General features: G+C 42.6%; 1 protein-coding gene and 1 long non-coding RNA gene across 7 annotated transcripts in view, besides 1 other annotated feature; both read left to right on the top strand.

The window, feature by feature from the left end:
- MAGI1-IT1 (MAGI1 intronic transcript 1) overlaps positions 1 to 12,657 on the top strand; it is an 81,745-nt gene extending 69,088 nt beyond the window's left edge. Inside the window, exon 3 of the long non-coding RNA NR_145422.1 lies at positions 10,421 to 12,657. This is a non-coding gene — a long non-coding RNA (MAGI1 intronic transcript 1). The remainder of the gene's footprint in view (positions 1 to 10,420) is intronic.
- The window catches only part of MAGI1 (membrane associated guanylate kinase, WW and PDZ domain containing 1), a 685,393-nt gene that overhangs the window by 153,448 nt on the left and 510,087 nt on the right, over positions 1 to 21,858 (top strand). The gene's annotated exons all lie outside the window — the stretch shown is intronic.
- Positions 16,322 to 16,823: an enhancer, noted in NCBI's record as "H3K4me1 hESC enhancer chr3:65854323-65854824 (GRCh37/hg19 assembly coordinates)". NCBI's record gives its function as "activates a minimal SCP1, AML or CMV promoter by ChIP-STARR-seq in naive H9 embryonic stem cells {active_cell/tissue: H9 hESC(naive)}" and the evidence as "EXISTENCE:reporter gene assay evidence [ECO:0000049][PMID:30033119]".

Genomic DNA, 21,858 nt, shown 5'->3' with positions numbered 1-21,858 from the left:
TGTTTTTCCCCCTCATTATACTTGATAGGGAATAACGTTCACAATATATGTGAAAACTATTTTTTTTTTTTTTGAGACAGAGTTTTGCTCTTCTTGCCCAAGCTGGAGTGCAGTGGCACAATCTCAGCTCACTGCAACTTCTGCCTCCTGGGTTCAAGTGATTCTCCTGGCTTAGCCTCCCAAGTAGCTGGGATTACAGATGCGCACCACCACACCGGGCTAATTTGTGTTTTTGGTAGAAATGGGGTTTCACTGTGTTAGCCAGGCTGGTCTTGAACTCTTGACCTCAGGTGATCTGCCCACCTCGGCCTCCCAAATTGTTGGGATTACAGATGTGAGCTGCTGCGCCCGACCTGAAAACGTTTTTTCATCCAGGTATCTATTTTATGACTGTTTTGTAATTTATTTTATATGTGATTTTTTTGTTGAATATTTAGGTTGTTTCTGAAGTGCTTTCATAAACAATGATGTGATGAACAATTTTTGTGCATACAGCCTTATATATCTCTCTGAATATTTCCTTGAGACAAATATTACATGTGGAATTACTTGGTTTTAGATCTTTAGGTTTTGGTACATATCATGCTAATACAAATTTTCTTATACTCTCTCCAATCCTTAAATCTCTGTTCCTCTAACAGAAAACCAAATTCCATGTGCTCTCATTTATAAGTGGGAACTAACGTTGAACAGCAGACACTGGGCCTCCCAAAGTGGGGATGGAGAGATGGAGGAAGGGGTTGAAAAATGCCTGGTGGGATTGTGTTCATTACCTGGGTGACAGGATCATTGGAAGCCCAAACCCCAGCATCATGCAATATACCCATGTAACTAACCTGCACATGTACCCCCTGAATCTTAAAAAAAAAGAAAAAAGAAAAGAAAATCTTTGTTCATTTGATAGCAAAATTAGTTGTTTAATAGCTCAGTATTTTAGTAGTTAGAAAATGGATTCAAGTTGTCTTAAATGTATTCTTCCTTAATTTTATCTCACATTTTGATGCCATGCTTTTTGTATTTAAGGGAAGTACTTTTTGGCCATTGTTCACCTATCTTGTGTGTTTCTAGATGGGAGCTTGGTCAAGTTCTCCCTTCGTTCTTCCACCCCATGTGGTACAATTTTTCCTTGTGTATCAGTAATGAGTCTGCACTTGGATACCTCATGCACAGTATCGCTATGTGCTATATGCACAGTGTCACTAGTTCCTTGTTGTATCTAAGAAAAGGCAGCACATGGCAGGGTGGAGAGAGTTGGTAGGCTTTATTCGGACGTGTTTTTCTTTCTGTTACATTGTGAATTCAGGAATCTAATTAGTTGACCATCACCTTGAAATCCCTTTAATAAAACCTGTGGTTGGTTTCTTCTACTCTCTGTTTATCTTGCTCTTTTCATTCTTGTTCTTTTCCCTTTAAGATAAGTGTATTCTGTCTTGCTTTTCTGCTAGAGTCTCATTTCATTTTCCTTCTTTCTGATTTTTTTTAAAAGCCTTTTAGGGAATGATTCAGAAAGAATTCTTTTCTTTTTTCTTTTTGGTAGACTGGGGAATTAAGACTGAAAAGTTTATTTCTTTCGATGAACAGGAAATGTTCTGGCTCCAGTAGTTTATTCGGGGGAGTGACATTTTGCAAAACGCCCACAGGCAATTCATGTGTACACAAAACCTAAGATAAACAGTTGTTACTGCTGCAGCCATTGTTTCTCCCTCTGTCTGAGGGCAAGAGACAGGGAAAATCAGACTGAGGAGAGGGTTAGAACAGTGGGAAATGCAGTGGCAATTCAGGAAGGTGTCATTTGTCTCACAACTGGATAGTCTGATGCCAGTGTTTAAAGCAACACTTCTTTTTCATAGAATATCTTCTGAAACTTGTGAATATTAATAATTCAGTAAAGGACACATTCCATGTAAACTGGGTGGTCTTCCAGAAGTAGAATCTCATAGCAAATTGCCAGTTTCTGTACAATTCCAGAGCTAAGTCTTTGTTATAATTGTTGTGAAGAATTGTTTGTCTAGCAAGTATTAAATTCTTCCTTACTGTGACCCACCCTGTTTATAAAATATATATTCTTGTTTATTCTTGAGGGTTGCGTTTCAGAATTATTTGATTTTACTTCTTTTAGACTGGAATTTGCTAGTACAACTTCTGTGGAGGAGGGTTTTGTGAAATATTTTTTTCAACTTGTTTAGGTAACACAAAATCCAACTTCAATAACTGTTGTGTAGTAAAATGCCTGAATCCTTTTTTATGCCATTTGCTAATATTTTGGGCTCATTTCGAACATATGCTTTTAAACTGTACTCTTCACTTGAGTGGCTGTGGTATTGCCAGACCTGTGACGTTTTACTACAGCTTGAGCCACGAAATGACTGGAATGTTAAAAGAAACTGGGGAGATAAATGGGTGTATAAATTGTTGATGTAGGCCACTGGTTAGGGGCAGCTAAGATACCTGACTGCTTGTTTGTGAGGTCAACTTGTCCTTTCTCTTCCCTTTTCCCTTTTCTTTCCTTTCTTTTTTCCTTTTTTTTTTTTTTTTTGAGACAGGGTCTTGCTCTGTTGCCCAGGCTGAAATGCAGTTGCGTGATCATGGCTCACTGCAGCCTCAACCTCCTGGGCTCAAGTGATCCTCCCACCTCAGCCTCCCAAGTAGCTGAGACTACAGGTGCACACCACCATGCCTGGCTAATTTTTTCTGATATTCTGTAGAGATGGGGTTTCACCATGTTGCCCAGGCTGATCTTGATCACCTGAGCTCAAGCCATCTGCCTGCCTCAGCTTCCCAAAGTGCAGGGATTACAGATGTGAGCCACTGTGCCTGGTCAACTTGTGCATTTTTGGCGTGCACATTTTCTTTTCTGATTTATTCTCTTCTTTTTCCTTTCTTTCTCTCTCTTGCCTCCTCCTTTTTTCCCCCCAGTTGAGGAATGTCTCCCTTAGTCTTAATGGGATGGTCAACCGAGGTTCCCTGCCATCCTGTAGATGGGAAAACATGTAACTTAAGCTCTGTCAATCAGACATACTCTTCCTGAATTTGAGTATGGAACTGAGTGATATAAAAACTATTCACCCAGAGGTGAACAGAAGAGATTGCTAGTTCCTGCCTCCTAGGTCTTTAGAGTTATTTTGATTTCCTACCTTCCTAAGGCGATTTCTTCAGCTTTGTCTTTTGTGTCCATGTAGTAAACAGCTTTTTCTTCTTTAAGTTAGGCAGAGTTGGTTTCTGTTACTAACTGAAGAAGCCTGTCTGAAAGGTACATCTTAGAGTGATCCCAAGGAGCCTCACAAAGGGTGTTTCCCAAGAAACTCACATCAACCCACCTCACAGAGAATGATACAGAGATCAAAATGACTGCTTATGAATTTACAGAAAGAAAACCAACTTTCTTTGGATAGAATGTTTATTGTTGCATTTTAATGCATTTCTCCCTGTTGGCAAACCTCAGAGGGGAAGTCAGGAGTTTCCTAAACTGAAGGTTGCTTGGGGAATAGGAAGTGTTGTCATTTGATCTGTGATAGAACTTGATCTCCTCTTGACAGGCCTTGGATGGGCACTGCCTAGCTAGGGCCGTTTCCTCTACTGGCTTTCCAGAGGCTCTTATGCCTTTTTGACCACAACCTACTTAGATGAAGAAAGGAATTTAAGGGCTTCCTCTCCTATTCAGCCCAGTTGCTAAAAAAAAGTGCTTGGATGAACACTAGGAGCTGAATCCCCCTCCCATAGACTTGAGAACACATTCCTGTACACCTAGACGTTCTTAAGACAAAATAAAAATCATTTGATGAGCTTACAAATGTGTGATGAGCTTATTATACTCATATGGAAGTCCTAACTTTTTTTTTTTTTGAGGAAGGGGTCTGGCTCTGTCACCCAAGCTGGAGTAGAGTGGTGAGATCATGGCTCACTACAGCCTCCAACGCCTGGGCACAAGTGATGCCCCTGCCTCAGCCTCCTGAGTATCTGGGACTATAGGCACACACCACCATGCCCAGCTAATTACAAAAAATTTTTTAGAGATGGGGTCTTGCCACCCTGCCCAGCCTAGTCTTGGACTCCTGGCCTCGAGTGATCCTCCTGCCTTGGCCCCCCAAAGTGCTGGGATTACAGGTGTGAGCCACTGCACTTGGCTTTGTCAAGAGATTTAGATCCATCATTTATGCATTGATCAGATATTTATTATCTGTTTCCTAATACCAGGTACTCTCTTATCTAAGAGTATTGGGTGTTTAGCAGTGAACAAGTCCCAGTGCTTGCCTTTCTTAATCTCAGGGTGCAGAAGAGTTAAAATCAGATGCCAGAGTGGCTCATTTCTGTAATCCCAGCACTTTGGGAGGCTGAGGCAGGTGGATCGCTTGAGCTCAGGAGTTCAAGACCAGCCTAGGCAACATGGAGAAACCCTGTATCTACAAAAAATACTAAAATTAGGTAGCCCCAGCTAGTTGGGAGTCTGAGGCGGGAAGATCGCTTGAGCCCGGGAGGCAGAGGTGGCAGCATGCCACTGCACTCCAGCCTGGGTGACAGAGGGAGACCCTGTTACATACACACACACACACACACACACACACGCCAGAGATATTTTATTTCCCATGAAAATGCGGAAGAGGACGAAAGTGATGAGATATTGCTGAGATGTGTCCCAGGCCAACAGTAGTATCTTTCTCTTTTCTTTAATTCAGGAGGTTACAACTAGTTTTTTGGATTTTACTCTCAGTGCAGTGGAACTAAGTGAATAAAACTTAAAAGTGTTTCTTCCCTGCCTTTGCTGCTGTGATGGGCTAGTGAGGATGTTCTCCCGGTGGAATCTAGTTGTCAGCCGTTTATTATCTCCTCAAGTTTGAAGCGTGGAATGCTACTTTTATGACATGGCCATTTCATATGCTGATTCTCCCACCTCATCTGTCATAAAGATATTTGTTTTGGGACCAGTCAGCAGTATTTCTTGTTCATAATTGTCCTGCCAACATATAGCTCTCCTTTGGTGATACCATTTCCAAATCCCTGATGTTTTGGCTGAATTGTGACACATGGAGTCCTTCCTGACAGGGGATATGAGATGTTGTATATATACCATTTAGCCCACAGTGACATGCGCTAAGGGTCACTGATTTTGGCTACTACTGTGATGATGACAGCAGCCATCACTGCCAGCACTACTGTTACTACTGTTATCATTACTACTGTGTGGGTTTTTACAGGAATTTTCTTCCAAGGCTATTTTTTTTTTTCTTTCTTGAGACAGGGTCTTGCTCTGTCACCCAGGTTGGAGTGCAGTGGTGCAATCTCAGCTTAATGCAACTTCTACCTCTGAGGCTCAAGCAGTCCTCCTGCCTTAGCCTTCTGAGTAGCTGGGACTACAGGTGTGTGCCACCATACCCAGCTAATTTTTATATTTTTAGTAGAGACTGGGTTTCATCATGTTGCCCAGGCTGGTCTTGAACTCCTGCTTCGGCCTCCCAAAGTGCTGGGATTACAGGCGTGAGCCACTGAGCCCAACTTTTTAATCACACAGATTCTAGTAGCTGATGCCATGTGTCTGTTAGGGATGACAAGGGCAGGAACTACAAGGGGAGAGGAGAGACTGTAATAGGTAATTAGAGAATGGGCTTCAGAGTTCATCAGACAGACCCAGTTCAGCCCACTTATCAGCTGTGTGACTTGAGACAAATTTGTGATTCTTTCTAAGGTTGGTTTCCTAGTCTGTAAAGTGGGAATAATAATAATAACCATCATGAAATGATAATGCTACCATTTTGCTCCTTTCTATGTACCAGGTATTGTACCTAGACTATCAACTTCAAACCTTATAACTCTAAATTGAGTTGTAGAACTCATGATTATTCCCAGTTTACAGATGATTCTGAGCACAGAGAGGTTAAGAACTTTGCCTGAGAACACACAGCCAGCACATAGTAGAGCTGGGATTATGTCACAGGTGGTCAGGTTGCCCAAGGTTGTTATAATATGTGAAGCTTTAAGCATGATGTCTCCTAGGTAACATTTATTCCAAGTGTAATAACATGATCATAAGGTAGGCTTTAATTGTTAAAGAGACCTGTTTCTTCCCTTAATCGCCTGACTTCTCTCTGCTTGGAACCTTTACTCCCATATTCAGATTCTGCCTACTGTGGTGGATTGGGGCCAGGTCTTCCACTGTCCTTAGCAATGCAAAATGATTGCCGAAAACAGGGGGCTTAATGGTGGACCCTGGGACTCCCAGCGAACTTAAATGCTTCTCTTTGCTCTCCGCTTCCACCTTAATGTCTAGCTTTGTATCAACAAGTTGAGAAATTTTCGGCCGAGTCTGGTGCATTGATGAGCTGAGTCACTCCCAATTAGGCTGTGGGCCTGCCTGGTGGGGATACTCTTGTTTACCAATGAGCACAAGTCTTTTTGGTGGTTGTTTTTCAAACGTGGATTGATGGTATGGAAGCCATTCTAAAGTGAGGCTTGTATTGACTTTGATCACTGCAACCCCCAGCAGGAGCTCAGGCAGCAGGGGCAGGTGAAAGGAAGTCAGGCGGGCTGAATGATGTGGAGGAAGGCCTTGGAGAAGGAAACTGCCCACTGCAGAAAACCATACTCACCTCTGCTCTTTCCCCTACCTATACCTGTTTCGTAGATAAATTGGAGGCAGCTTCTGGTTGGAGATGGTCGTTAAATCAGTCCAGGCAGCCTTCCTTTGAGCTGTGATCAGGAGCAGGGCCCTGGGCTATTTGTAACCAGCAGACAGCATTGAAGCAAAGTGTAATATTTAAACTGCCACAAACGAAATATGCATTCATGGTGGGAAACATATCCATTTTGTCACTGGTGTGCTTTATCTTTTACTTTTATTTCTTCCTTCTAATATTGGGGTATAATAAACACTTATTCGAGGATGGTAGAGAATAATAATTTATTTTTTCTTTATTTTGGCAAATAAAAAAATAAGTCTGCGTTCTTTTTTTTTTTTTTTTTTGAGACTGAGTCTCGCTCTGTTGTCCAGGCTGGAGTGCAATAGCGCAATCTTGGCTCACTGCAACCTCTGCTTCCCAGGTTCAAGCAATTCGCCTACTTCAGCCTCCCAAGTAGCTGGGATTACAGGCACCCACCACCATGCCTGGCTAATTTTTGTATTTCTGTCGAGACGAGGTTTCACCATATTGGCCAGGCTGGTCTTGAACACCTGATATCAGGTGATCTGCCCGCCTTGGCCTCCCAAAGTGATGGGATTACAGGCGTGAGCCACCGTGCCCGGCCAAGTCTGCATTCTTATATCCAACTTTTGACTTGAAGCCTGGAAACCGTGTTAGGTGAGGTTTTGCCAAAGCCCAGTGTGGTTTTGTGATGTCCGTGTTCCTGTGTTTTTTTTCCTTTTTTTTTTGAGACAGAACCTCACTCTGTCACGTAGGCTGGAGTGCAGTGGTGTGATGATGACTTACTGCAGTTTCCAACTCCTCGGCACAGGTGATCCTCCTGCCTAAGCCTCCTGAGAAGCTGGTGTCACAGGTGTGCGCCACTGTGCCTGACTAATTTTTTAAAACACTTTTTGTAGAGACAGTGTCTCACCATATTGCCCAGGCTGGTCTCAAAGTCCTGGGCTCAAGCAGTCCTCCTACCTTGACTTCCCAAAGTGCTGGAATTACAGACATGAGCCACATGCCTGGCCCCATGTTCCTGTTTTGTTATGGGGTGTTCTGTTCTCATAGATGATCAGGTTCTTTTCCAGTGATCAGAAAGCTTTTGAGTTTGTCTCTACAAAAATACAAAAATTAGCCAGGCATGATGGTGGGTGTCTGTAATCCCAGCCACTTGGGAGGCTTAGGCAGGAGAATTGCTTGAACCTGGGAATCAGTTAAACTAAAATACAGGTGACTGTTTTGGTAGGAAAATATTTTCCCACCTTCTTCTTACCTTACTGATTTCATGTCTGAGAGCTAAGACACTTTCTCCAAGTGTCTTAGAGGCATGCTGTCTTCTTCTGGATTCAAATTGAGGTCATCTCTGGGGAACCTCTCTACGTGGATACAAGTGGAGAAAAACACATTAAAATATCTGTGGGTGTTTGAGAGCTGCTCACATTTTCAGGGAGGCTGCCAACATTTATGTTTGTGCCCTAAGTATTGTATAAGTCCATGCCCTGAGATGTTACTCATCCCAGTTTCGTGTTTGTTGGTAAAGAGGGAGTTGTACCTTGTAGAGTTTCATTTCTTCTCTCCCATACATTGACTCATATTGGTGATTATGTCAAAAACTACTTAATTTGTATAAAGGCATCTCCAACAGCAGTTTATATAAATCCCATATGGGAAAAGGTCCCATAAGTTGGACCACAGAGTATGTTGATCACAGCCTGGAATTTGGACTCACACTTGCATTTGAGTCCCAGCTTAAACTTGGATAAGGTTTTTGTTTTGTGTTAATTTAATTTTTACTTAAAAATTAGAGCATAGGCCAGGCGCAGTGGCTCATGCCTGTAATCCCAGCACTTTGGGAGGCCGAGGCGGGCGGATCATGAGGTCAGGAGATTGAGACCATCCTGGCTAACATGGTGAAACCCCGTCTCTACTAAAAATACAAAAAATTAGCTGGGCGTGGTGGCAGGTGCCTGTAGTCCCAGCTAATCGGGAGGCTGAGGCAGGAGAATGGCATGAACCTGGGAAGCGGAGCTTGCAGTGAGCTGAGATTGGGCCACTGCACTCCATCCTGGGCGACAGAGCAAGACTCTGTCTCAAAAAAAAAAAAAAAAGCATGATACATGCAGATAATCTTAAGAAATTCAAAAGTACTTTAAGATTTATCACAAAAACATTAATCTTTAATATCACTGCTGCCCATTCTTCAGTGTGACATCACAGAGGGCACCACCTTTAACTCTGTAAGCTGTTCCTTCTGGCATTTCCCTCTATATTTAGAAATGATATGTTCATATTTATATTTATTGTGATTTCAATTTTAGGTATTATCTATTGTTATTTTCTGTTATCCCTGGTAAAGAAGTTGAGGATTTAATTTTGTTTTACTCCGTAAAACCCACACTTTTTTCCCGTCTACCTTATTCCTAACTACATAGTAGTATCAGTACATCAGCATTTCTCAGCTGAGCCACATAGGACACTATAATTATATTGCCTTTTTTGGGGGGGGTGGTGAGTGGGTTAGGAGATGGATTCTTACCATATTGCCCAGGCTGGAGTGCAGTGGCTGTTCACAGGCGTGATCGTAGCACACTGTAGCATTGAACTCCTGGGCCCAAGTGATCCTCTTGCATCAGCCTCCTGAGTAGCTGGGACCACAGACATGTGCCACTGTACCCAGCTGTATTGCTTTTTTATGACGTGAATAAAATGCTTTGCTTTTTTTTTTTTTGCTTAATTTTCTTCATCCTCATCTCTAATTCTTCCCTAAACTCTCCAGCAAAACTGAAAAACCCTCACAGCAGAACTGAAAAACCCTCACAGCATAGCTAAACCTATTAAAGAATCCATCAGTCCCTTAAAAAACGAATGCTTGGTTTCCTCCCTCTTACTGTTTTCTGTCCACTTGCTTTAATGTGGACTGGTTGGTTTCTATGTTGATTCCACAACTCTCATCCCCTCTCAGCCACAGTTCCTCATCTGTGCAATGAGGATAACAGCGGTCTCAGGGAGGTGTTGTGAAAATTTAACGAGCTGAGACAGGAACAGCAGTGGCGTGAAGTAAGAGCTCAGTCAGTACTAGCTGTTATTATTCCTTTATCTTCTTCTTCATTATTATGTTAGGCTGTGGTCACTAAACTGTAATGCATCTTTAAGAATGAGGATATAGTAGGGCTGGAAGGGAACTACAGTATGACCTATTGTAGTCCTTCATTTTCAGAGAGGCCTGGAGGAGATAAGTGTCTTTACCAAGGTCATGGGGCTGATCGATATGGAGAGGCAGAGCTACAAATAGATCTGTGCACCTCTGACATTGGTCATAGTCATGTGTTTTTTCCATTTCCTCATGCAACCTCAGTAGCCTTAAGGGTTTTGTAAAAAACATTTTGTAAATTTCGTAGTCATTTATTCTCCTTTTTCCTGATTCCTTTCTTTTCTGAAATACATAACAGCTTTATTAAGATATAATTCAAATACCATACAAATCACTCATTTAAAGTTTACAACTAAATACTTTAAATATATTCAGAGAATTGTGCAGCCATCTCTGAAGTCTAACTTAACATTTTCATCATCTCAACAACAAACCCTTTACCTTTTCTGTATCACTCCCCTACCCCCAAGTTCTAGGCAGCTACAAATCTGTTTTCTGTCTTTTTGGATTTGGCTATTTATATTTCATATAAATGTGAACTGCTGTGTGAGGTCTTTTGTGACTGGCTTCTTAGCATAGTATTTTCAGTATTATTTACATAGTAGCATGTGTCAATTCTTTATTCCATTGTTTGTTTATTTGTTTTTTGTAGAGACAAGGTATTGCTGTGTTGTCCAGGCTGGTCACAGACTCCTGGCTGCAAGTGATCCTCCTGCCTCAGCCTCCTAGAGTGCTGGGATTACAGACGTGAGCTACCACACCTGGCTTTTCATTCCTTTTAATGGCTAAATAATGTTCCATTCTATAGATACATATTTTTTTCCCCATTCATCAGTTGAAGGACATTTGGGTTGTTCCTAGTTTTTGGCTATGGTGAGTAATACTGCTATGGATATTCATGTACAGGTTTTTGTGTGAACATATGTTTTCATTTCTCTTGGGTACATACCTGGGAATGGAATTGCTGGTTCAAATGGAAACTCTTTAAGTTTTTAGTAACTGCCAGACTGCTTCCTAAAGCAGCTGCACCATTTTACATTCACACCAGCAGTGTATGAAGGATCCAGTTTCTTCACGTCGTCACCAGCACTTGCCTGTCTTTGTACACCAATCAAAGGTGTATGAAGTCGATCTCATTGTGTTTTTCATTTGTATATCCCTGATGGCTAATGATGTTGCCCATCTCTTAATGTGTTTATTTGGTCTTTTGTACATCATCTTGTGGAAAAATGTCTGTTAAGATGGTTTGCCCATTTAAAAATAGTGTTATATGTCTTTTATTATTGAGTAACAGTTCTTTATATGTTGTGGATACAAGTCCTTTATCAGATGTGTGATTTTAAGTATGTTCTCTCATTCTGTGGGTCATCTACACGTTCTTAAAAAATTTTTTGAGACAGAGGCTTTTTAAACAAATTTTTTTGAGACAGAGTTTACCTCCCAAGCTGGAGTCCAGTGGTGAGATTTCGGCTCACTACAACCACCACCTCCTGGGTCCAAATGATCTTCCCACCCCAGCCTTCTGAGTAGTTTGGACTACAGGTACATGCCACCACACCTGGCTAATTTTTGTATTTTTTGTAGAGATGGGGTCTTGCTGTGTTGCCCAGGCTAATATCGAATGCTTGGGCTCAAGCTATCTGTCTGCCTTGGGTTCCCAAAGTACTGGGACTACAGGCGTGAGCTGCTACACCTAGCCTGCATCTTCACTTTCTTGATGGTATCATTTGCAGCACAAAACTTTTATCTATTTTTTTTCTTTTGTTTGTGGTTTTGGTTTATATTTAAATAGGCTTCACCTGACCCAGGGTTTTGAAGATTTACTTTTATATCTTCTAAGAGTTTCATAGTTTTAGGTTTTACATTTAGGTATATGGTCCATTTTTTTTGTGTATTGCATAGGAAAGGGTCCCAACTTCATTCTTTTGCATGTGGATGTGAAGTTTTCCCAGCACCATTTGTTGAAAAGGCGATTCTTTTTCTGTTAAATTTTCTTGGCACCTGTGTTGAAATCAAATATGCAGAGGTCTTGACACACTGTTACTGTCCAGTCTCTACACATGCTGTCCTTCTCTCCCACAAAGTGTAATAATGTAATAATGCAATAACGTGCCTGATAACCAAATGAGTGGATTTCAGCAGTCCCCCTTTGTCTGAAACCTTTGTGATCAGAGGGAATAAACATCTTAGAGGCATGAAGCCCTTGCTCAGATAAGGAGAAGATAGAGAACCAAAGTGCCATAATGTACCAAGTAAAAAGCATCAGATGTGCCAGAAAATAAGCAGTAGGAATTAACTTTGAGGGTTATCACAGGAACACTATGTAGAGTAAGCACAAGCAGCTCAGCTGTGGACGAGCTTTGCTGTAGATTTTGCTGCAAACCTCTGCAGGCCTGAGAGCTTGCCGTGGGTCCAGAGAGCAGCAGATGTACTTGGCTGTGACGTCACTGGATGTGTCCTGATCTACTCCTTCTCCTTCTCATACATGAGGTTATCTGAGGTCTCAGCCAAGAGACAAATCAGCACTTTACCCACGGACAGCACCAAAGCTCGCCATCTTGGCCGCTGCCCCAGAACCTTGGAAACTTCTGCAGTGAAATGGATTCTGATTATTTTTATTACCTTTGTTCTTTTTTTAGAATTGAAGTCTGGAATACATAAAGTGTGTTAATATTAAGTGCAACTTCGTGACCTTTTAATTGAGGTATTACTGTGTAACCATCACCAGATTAATATATGGAACATCATAAGTACCCTGGGAGACTCCTTGTGCTATTTCCCACTCAGTGCTCTCCTCTTAAAGAGGTCAGCACTGTTCCGGTTCTTCTATTACCATATATTTGTTTTGCCTGCTCATGAACTTCAAATAAATAAAAACTATGGTATGTACTCTTTTATGTCTGGCTTAATTTGTCCAGTATGTTTGGGAGACATGACCCTTGTGTTGTGTGTGTCAGTAGTTCATTTTTATTGGTTGTATAATATTCACTTGCATGTACATACAATAAAATATTTATTTTTCTATTCATATGCATCTGGGTAGCTTGTAGTTTGGGGCTATTTTCAATAAAGCTGCTCTATTTATTGTCTGAGTGTTTTGGTAGACATAAACACTCCTTTCTTTCATTTGTTTGGCTTTAGAAGACACTGCCAATAGGTTCTGATTTGTATCCTCTTCTGTTTTAATCTCACACTCAGCTTTATGCTTAGAGTGTGTGTTTGTGGCCTCCAGTGTGTGCAGGTTAGGGACAGGAAAGAGAAAGAGAAATTGATGAAGGTAGAATGGAGAAGGGGACAGGCTAATATGTATTAAAGAAAGGGAAGACAGTGGAGAGGAAGAGTTGGAGACAAAATAATTATTAGTTGGGTACATAAATTTTTAATATGGATTCAAATTCTAGCTCTGCCATTTACTAGCTACTTAATGTTAGAAAACTTAAGTCAACTCTAACAAGCACCTATATTATAGGGACTGTGAGCAGTATATGAAGCATTGCCTAAAAGTAACAGCTCACATTTACCAAGGGCTTTCCATTGCTAGTCATTGTGCTAATGTAATTATTTAATTTGATCTTTACAACAACCCCATGAGCTATGTTCTGTTAATTTTCCCAGTTTTCCCAGTTAGGAATTTGGAAGTCTGAGAGGGTCAGTCCCCAGGTTACACAACTGGTTAGTAGAGCGAGAACTCTGATAAGTTGACACCAGTGTATTGACTGCAGAAGACTGGGAGGCAGACAAAGAGAATGTCTTTGCTTATAGACAGGAACAGGTGGAGAACTGTTACCGACCCAGGCAGAATAGAATAGCAGCCAGTGATTCATCCAGGGCTTTCTGGGCTGCTCCAATAAGGGACAATGACTGCGTGGGGTTAGGGAGAAAGGAAAGTTGGAAATTTTCTTTTTGTAATATTTAGCCTTATCTGAAGGGCAAGGTTTTGAGTTTCTGTCCCAGCATTCAGTAGAAAACTTTGCACAGAGGTAAACCTAAGTAGTTATGATTCCTGCTCACCTTACTTTAAGTCCCCCAGCCTGATTTTTCCTAAGCCGGATCCCTGAGCCTGCGTGTTCCTTCCCTCCACCTCACTCCACCTGCTGTGTTTCCAGCTGTACTGGCCTCATGCCAGCTCTTGACTGCTGACTGCTTTGGCCTCTAAGCTGTAATACTGGCCTCCTGGGAAGCACCCAGAATTCCACAGTTATTTTCCTCTCTTTCCCCTTCAGCAATTCCCAAATTTGCTTTTCTCAGTGTTGTGCTTTCAGCTGGCTGGCTGTGCTGCAGTCACGCTGTCCCAATCCTGGAGCAAGTCAAACATTAATTACACAGGTGCATGAAGAAAGAGTGCATGCATTCTTCTCTCCCACAACCCCCAACCCCAGTTTCAACTCTCCCTCACTCCCACCTTGAGGCATTCAGTGTTACCTGGTTGAATATATATATTTTTTGTTTTAAAAATATAACTATTAGGCTGGGCATGGGGGCTCATGTCTGTAATCCCAGCACTTTGGGAGGTGGAGGAGGGTGGTTTGCTTGAGTCCAGGGTTCAAGACCAGTTTGGGCAACATAGTGAGACACCATCTCTAGAAAAAATACAAAATTAGCTGGGCGTGGTGGTGTGTGCCTGTAGTTCCAGCTTCTCAGGAGGCTGAGGTGGAAGGATCAATTGAATCCGGGAGGCAGAGGTTGCAGTGAACTGTGATCGCACTACTACACTCTGCCCTAGATGACGGAGTGAGACTGTGTCTCAAAAAAAAATTTTGTACTTATATTTATATGTGTATGAGATGGAGTCTCATCTCAATTTATTGCCCAGGGTGGACTTGAACTCCTGGGCTCAAGTGATCCTCCCACCTTGGCCTCCCAAAGTGCTGGGATTACAGGCATGAGCCACCATGCCCGGCCTGAATATCTTTTCACACTTGTAGGAACATATAAAAGTCTTAGTCTTTCTTCATTTCCTTTTCATTCTTTCTTTTTTTTTTTTTTCACTAAAATGGTAAAATCCCACTATGAACAGTCCTAGTTTTCCTTCTTCTCTACCCTCTTTCCTACCCCCCCCACCCTGCCTCTCTCCTGTCTTTCTCTGTCTTCCTTCCCTTCTCCTCTCCCTCCCTCCTTCTCTACTTGATTTGACTCTCTTACTGTCTTCCTTTCTGCCTCCCTGTCTTCTTCCCCTCCTTCCCTGCTCTCTTTCTCATTTTAGTGAGTCACTGCCTTGGTCCATTCATGGAGCCGGGGCCAGGGGATAGATAGAAAGATGCATTAAGACACACCCTTGCCCTCTAGGTCCTAGAGAAGAGATCAGGGTGCATGGGGAGATCAGAATGTGAATAGCTCATTGCTACACAGGCTTTCCCTATCATTTGGACAGTCTTTCTCTTTCACTTAATGAATGAAACTGAAGGGTTGTTGGAGGCCCAGGCTTCCAGTATTGAATTGACGTTGGATCCTGGGAATTAAAAAAAAAAAAAGTATCTCAGTGCTCAGGCAGCCTATTAAATTAAGTTCAGTCCCTGCCCTTCCTGTGTTTGTTTACTGATCATTACGCACATTTGTCAACATTATAGGCTCCTGTCTATGATAGAAATAAATGCTCAGCATCCGTGTAGAACAAATCGCTCTTTCTAAGAGGAAATGCATTTAATGAAGAATGGCTCTCCCAGATTCAGAAACAACTTGAGGGTAGTAATCAATGGCCTGAGCTATGAAGCCAGGTACAGAATGCAATGCAGATTTCGATTTCTAGGGTAAAGAATAGGAGAGATGCACTGAACGCTTACTGCGTGCCAGCACTGGGCCACGTGCTGCACATGTGTCTCTTGCCTTCTCATTCTCATGAAATAAGCAGCACTACAACCGCTTAATTGCAGGTGAGGAATGTGAGACACCAAGCGGCCAGGATCCTCATTTCATTTCAGTTGGATTAGAAATATTTATGGAGTACCTACTATGTGCCATGCTCTGTTGTAGGCCCTTGGAATACATCAGTTAAAAAACAGTCTTGGCTGGGCGCGGTGGCTCACTCCTGTAATTCCAGCACTTTGGGAGGCCGAGGTGGGCGGATCACAAAGTCAGGAGATCGAGACCATCCTGGCTAACACAGTGAAACCCTGTCTCTACTAAAAATACAAAAAATTAGCCGGGTGTGGTGGCGGGTGCCTGTAGTCCCAGCTACTCGGGAGGCTGAGGCAGGAGAATGGTGTGAACCTGGGGGGTGGAGCTTGCAGTGAGTGGAGATCACGCCACTGCACTCCAACCTGGGTGAGAGAGCAAGACTCTGTCTCAAACAACAACAACAACAACAACAACAACAACAACAACAACAACAACAACAAAAAACCAGTCTTGCCTTTGGGATCTGTACATTCTAGTGGGGATGGCAGGTAGGGTAGGATAGATGACACATTATAAACATAATCAATTAGTTGTTGTTTTTTTTTTTTTTTTGAGACGGAGTCTCGCTCTGTCACCCAGGCTGGAGTGCAGTGGCGCGATCTCGGCTCACTGCAAGCTCCGCCTCCTGGGTTCACGCCATTCTCCTGCCTCTGCCTCTCCGAGTAGCTGGGACTACAGGCGCCTGCCACCACGCCCTGCTAATTTTTTGTATTTTTAGTAGAGACAGGGTTTCGCCGTGGTCTCGATCTCCTGACCTCGTGATCCGCCCGCCTCGGCCTCCCAAAGTGCTGGGATTACAAGCGTGAGCCACCGCGCCCGGCAGTAATTATGAGGTATGTTAGAAGTTGATAGGGGCTATGGGCAAAGGAAAAAGTAGGGCAGGGTCAGAGGGTTGAAAATGTCCAGGCAGGTAGCAGGTGGTAGTATTACATGGGGTGATCAGGGTGGACTTTGTCGAGAAGTCAAGAATTCAGAAAAATATGCAAAGTATTGAAAAAAGCTAGTTTGTCTTAGAATCTAGCTACAATTGTTTAAGAACTCATTTAACAAGTCTTTGCTGAGCTGGGTCATGTAGGAATGGTTCTTGTCACCCTTGCCCTGTAATGGCCTGTGGTTTTTTGAGGGAGATTAGTTAGCTCCCAACATATAATTAGGTGCTCAAGGGAATAATGCCGACAGATTTCCATTGGCATTAAGAGCAGGAAAGACTGGATGTGGGTAAGCATTCTCCCAAAGATATATGCTGAGTGCATTTGTGATACCCCATAACTGATACAATGAGACACTAAGGCATTTTTCCAGGGTGCAGGGAGTCTGTCTAGAAGGTTATGTGGTGAATTCATGACAGGCCCTCTGTTCAGAGTCAAACAGCATTTTGAATCTGCGCTCTACCCGTCAACATTTGGTGTGTTGTGTCACGTCTTTGAGATTTGTTTTCCTCCTCTGTGAAATGGGAATATTCATACTTAGCCCAAAGGTTGATGTAAGGATTGCTGAGAGCATTTAGTTTGGGGTCTCACACATGTTGAGTATTTACTGTGCAGTGGTGATCACTGTCATCCATCCTCAGTTTGCAGGATCATTTGAGGTTTTGCCTCAAGGTAAACCTCACTGGCAAGGTGGCTGTGATAACAGTTAGTTTCTTAAAGGTAACTGGAACCTAGGCCAGAGGAGAGGCTGTGGTAGGAAAGCACTGGAGCGTCTTTCTTTCTCTACCTGAAACAGGGCCAACTTTCCAGAACAGCATATGGACCCTAAGAATTCATGGGGATTTTTCTCAGCAGGCAGACTTGTAAGCAAATGACAGGGCAGGGAGGAGCAGCTTATGGATTCCTGATAGATCAGTGGTTACAAGGAGGCACTTTTGGGACTGCCATCTGTTCCCATCCTCCTCAGACCTGACGCCTCCTCAGACTCCTGGACCCTGAGTCTCCAGTGCAGAGTGGAATTCAGAAAGCACAGTAAATGGCAGGGCTTCTTGGGGGCTAGGGTGTGGAGCTGTCTTACTGTGCTTGTTGTACAGCCCACTCATACCCCCACTCCCACCCCTTTTTTGATTCAGGGTCTCGCTCTGTTGCTAAGGCTGGAGTGCAGTGGTGAGATCATGGCTCACTGCAGCCTTGCACTTCTAGGCTCATGTAATTCTCCCACCTCAGCACCACCACCTCCTCTCGCCCCCACAGTAACTGGGACTTTAGGCGTGGGCCACTATACCTGGCTAATTTTTAATTATTTGGTAGAATCAGGGTCTCCATATGTTGCCTAGGCTAGTCTCGAACTCCTAGGTTCAAGCAGTCTTTTCACTTCGGCCGCCCACAGTGCTAGGATTACAGGCGTGAGCCACCATGCCTGGCCTCCCACTCACACCCTTTGAAGTTAGGGGAACTGGGTTGATGATGCCAGAAAAGCGTTGTGGAGCTTAACTTTTTAGGAATTGTTCTACAGTTGATTGATGTGTTCAGAAAATGCTGCTGCCAACAGCGTGCCAGGAATTGGACAAATGACGATAGCATATCTTCGTCCCTCAGGGACCCCCTGGCCCTCAGGTAGTAGCAGCCCAGGGGTTGCAAACTGGTGGCCAGTGGATGCTGGTGGTTGGAAGATGATGAGTGCCAAATGCTTACTCTGGGCCTGGTAACTTTCTAGGTATTCTGGATAGATTAACTCATTGAAACTTCACAACAACCTTGTGAGAGACATGTTCTTAATGGTCTCCAATTTCCAGATCAGGAAACTAAGCAACTCACCCCAAGGGCATGCTCATGGACCCTTGAAAAATAGAGAGATTTCCCAGACATCTAGGTCTTCAGCTTCTCTTTAAAAAGATCTGAAGCTAGGTGGATGTTGCTGAGTTCACATCCTGTCCGGGACAGCCAGCAGCAGTCCAGCTGATTGACCACAGTCTCCACCATCCACTCTTGTGTGATGCCTCCCTTCTTCCCTGTTTACACCGAGTAGCTGACTTCTTTTGCTCTTGGTAAGGGACCACAAGTTATGTTTGTTTGTTTGTTCTTTTTTCCTAGCTGATTTGATGAACATGGCAGTGCCTTAGGAAACAATCAAACTTAGAAGACAGAAGTTTAGACCTCTGGGATGAGGGGAGGTGACAGAGAATGTAAGAAAGGTTTAGTAGGCAGTACCCACAGTGGAATTCATATGTCAGCCCTATGTATATATATAAATGAGATGCTGCATCTCTTTAGTTCTTTTGTTCCAAAGTTCAGGTTATACAGGTTAGTCTGTCATTGCCTGGTCTTTCTGTGCTGGTGGGAGCAGGTAGCGGTTGGGTGGGAGGGATTATGAATAGTCGTTCAAGGCCTACTGAGATCTTAGATCAACCTGCTTTTCTGAATCCCAGCCTAGGATTTTCTTTTCCTTTTTCTTTTAGTGTTTCCTTTTTCTGTTACTGCTTTTTTTCCCCTCTTAAATGCACATTGCATTAAAAAAAAAAAAAAAGAAGTAGGCACTCAGGAGGTTGAGGTGGGAGGACCGCTTGAGCCCAGGAGGTTGAGGATGCAGTGAGCCATGATCACACCACTGTACTCCAACTGGAGCAACAAAACAAGACTCTGTCTGTTAAAAAAAAAAGAAAAAAATTGAAAACAGCAAATACCAACAATTCCCCCAGCCACAGTTATTCTTTATACGTAGTATATATTTTATATAATTTACATGTTTTATATTTATATATTTAATGTATTTATATATTGCATGTTTACTTAATAATTGTAAATTATATGTTTACATTACAAAAATTGAATCAAAACAGTGCATAATGTTTTGAAACCTATTTTTCTCTCAGTCATATGTTATGAACATCATTCCATGTCAGCTGCTGCCATTGTGGTTTTAAAAGCTTGCAAAGTATGGCCTGGCATGGTGGCTCATGCCTGTAATCCCAGCACTTTGGGAGGCTGAGGTGGGTGGATCACCTGAGGTCAGGAGTTCGAGACCAGCCTGGCCAACATGGTGAAACCGTGTCTCTACTAAAAATACAGAATTAGCTGGGTGTAGTGGCGAATGCCGGTGATCCCAGGTACTCTGGAGGCTGAGGCAGGAGAATCGTTTGAACCTGGGAGGTGGAGGTTGCAGTGAGCCGAGATTGCGCCATTGCACTCCAGCCTGGGCAACAAGAGTGAAACTCCATCGCAAACAAAACAAAACAAAACAAAAAAACACTTGCAAAGTGCTTATTTTTTATTTTTATTTTTTGAGACAGGATCTCACTCTGTCACCCAGGCCTGGATTGCAGTGGTGTGATCTTGGCTCAGTGCAACCTCTGCCTCCAGGCTCAAGTGATCCTCCCATCTCAGTCTCCCAAGTAGCTGGGAGTACAGGTGTGTGCCACCACGCCTGGCTAATTTTTGTATTGTTTGTAGAGATGATGTCTCACCATGTTGCCTAGGCAGGTCTTGATCTCTTCAGCTCAAGCGATTGCCTCGTCCTCCCTAAGTGCTGGGATTACAGGTGTGAGCCACTGCACGTGGTCAGTGCTTTTTTTTTGAAGTTTAACAGGTGCCGTTTAGGATTTTTCTGATTTTTTATATTGGCTCACATCCTAGACTATTTATTTGGTAAAAATCTAGGAGAAAATTATACCATCAAAGGGCAGAGAATGTGAGTTTATGCTGACTTGGTTTCCTTCTGGTTTTTTAGTAAACATTATCGTATGTTATATAGACCCTCTCTGTAGGTGTGTCTATGTAGTTGTGTGTATGGCATAGTTACAGATGTACATATCTACAATATTGAAGAGGAGTGCTGCTTAGTGTCTATCCGAGTGTTATATCAACCCTCTCTGTATGTACGTAGGTGTGTGGATGGCATAATTACAGGTGTGTATATCTACAGTATTGAAGAGGAGTGCTGCTTAGTGTCTTATCATTTTGATAATGATGACCATTTGCATATCTTTCTTTATCCCTGCCAGCCTTTAAAAATATTGATTTTCCCAATATTTGTAGCCTCAGTAGAATCTTCATTTTGTGACTGTAGTTTAGATTTGGACAGTGGCAGGTTGAGTAGGCAGGACTTCCATATTAGTCTAATATTTCTGTCGAATGGCCATGAAGAGCCACCTGGTGTTCCTCCCACAGCCTGGAGGCAGGTGGCAGAGTTACGGAGGCAGAGTCTTGTTCCCCACTCCATTCTTCACCTTCTCCTCTCTGTAGTAACCTGGTTCAATCTGGGAAACCAGAATGAAAAGTACTGTTTTTCCTGATTCTGCTATGCAGCTGTGCAGGGCTGGATGTGGCCAGTGTAGCTGTGTGGCACGTGACATGGAGTCTGCCGTCTCGCTGACGGGTGGCCTTGACAGTCCAGGCTTCCCCATCACAGCTGCCATTTTTGTAGTTGGTGAGCAAAGCAAGAAAGCAGGCCACTTCCTCCACATGTTTAGGAAAGCTATTTCATCCATCACTTAGTAGGAAATTAACCCTGGCCTGTACCAGGGAGAAAGAAGAGCCTGAATGAGGTCATGATCACTCCACATAGATCCTTTCAACCTTGGCTAGAAAAATCCAGTGTTGAGCTTTTGGTGAAGAATCTTCCAAAATTTAGGTTATACAGGTTATTTATTTATACGTTTCTCTATGTCTGTGTGTGTCTGTGTATGTATTTAGGTTGACAGATGGGTATAACCTTTTTACAAAATAGGATCATGCTATACATGCTATTATATAACCTTATTTTTTTTGGTTTACGTTTTTTTCATTTTGTTTCATATTCTGTTGAATGTTTATTCATTCACTCACCCTATTTACAAATAAAAAAGAGAAATATTCTTTCCACTCTCATTTATTTAGTAGTAGTTAGAGAGCAAGACAATAATCAATTAATTATACCAAATCAATGTGAAGGAGCTCTGAGGGAAAGTTACTCTGGGAGTGCCTAACAGAGGGGACCAGTTTCTAAGGAAATGACACTTCAGCTAGAATCTGAAGACTAGCATGTGGAGGTAGAATTGGGGTAGGAAAAGAGGGGACTATGTCGATTTTTATAGATGTATAATATTTAATTTATGGATATGCCATAATTTATGTATCAAGTCATTTTGGGTTGCGTTTAGATTATTGCTGATTTTTCATCTATTTTATCCATTTTGATGGATGGATTAGAGGCTTTGAACTCTTAGTCTAGCAGTAGAGTGGATCTGTCTGAATTTGCCAACGTTCTCATTTGTCTTTCTTATGTCCA

The sequence above is a fragment of the Homo sapiens genome, chromosome 3 (assembly GCF_000001405.40).
Source record: "Homo sapiens chromosome 3, GRCh38.p14 Primary Assembly".
Taxonomy (NCBI): Eukaryota; Metazoa; Chordata; class Mammalia; order Primates; family Hominidae; genus Homo; species Homo sapiens.
The sequence above is the reverse complement of the archived record's forward strand: the minus strand, read 5'-3'. Positions and strand labels throughout refer to the sequence as shown.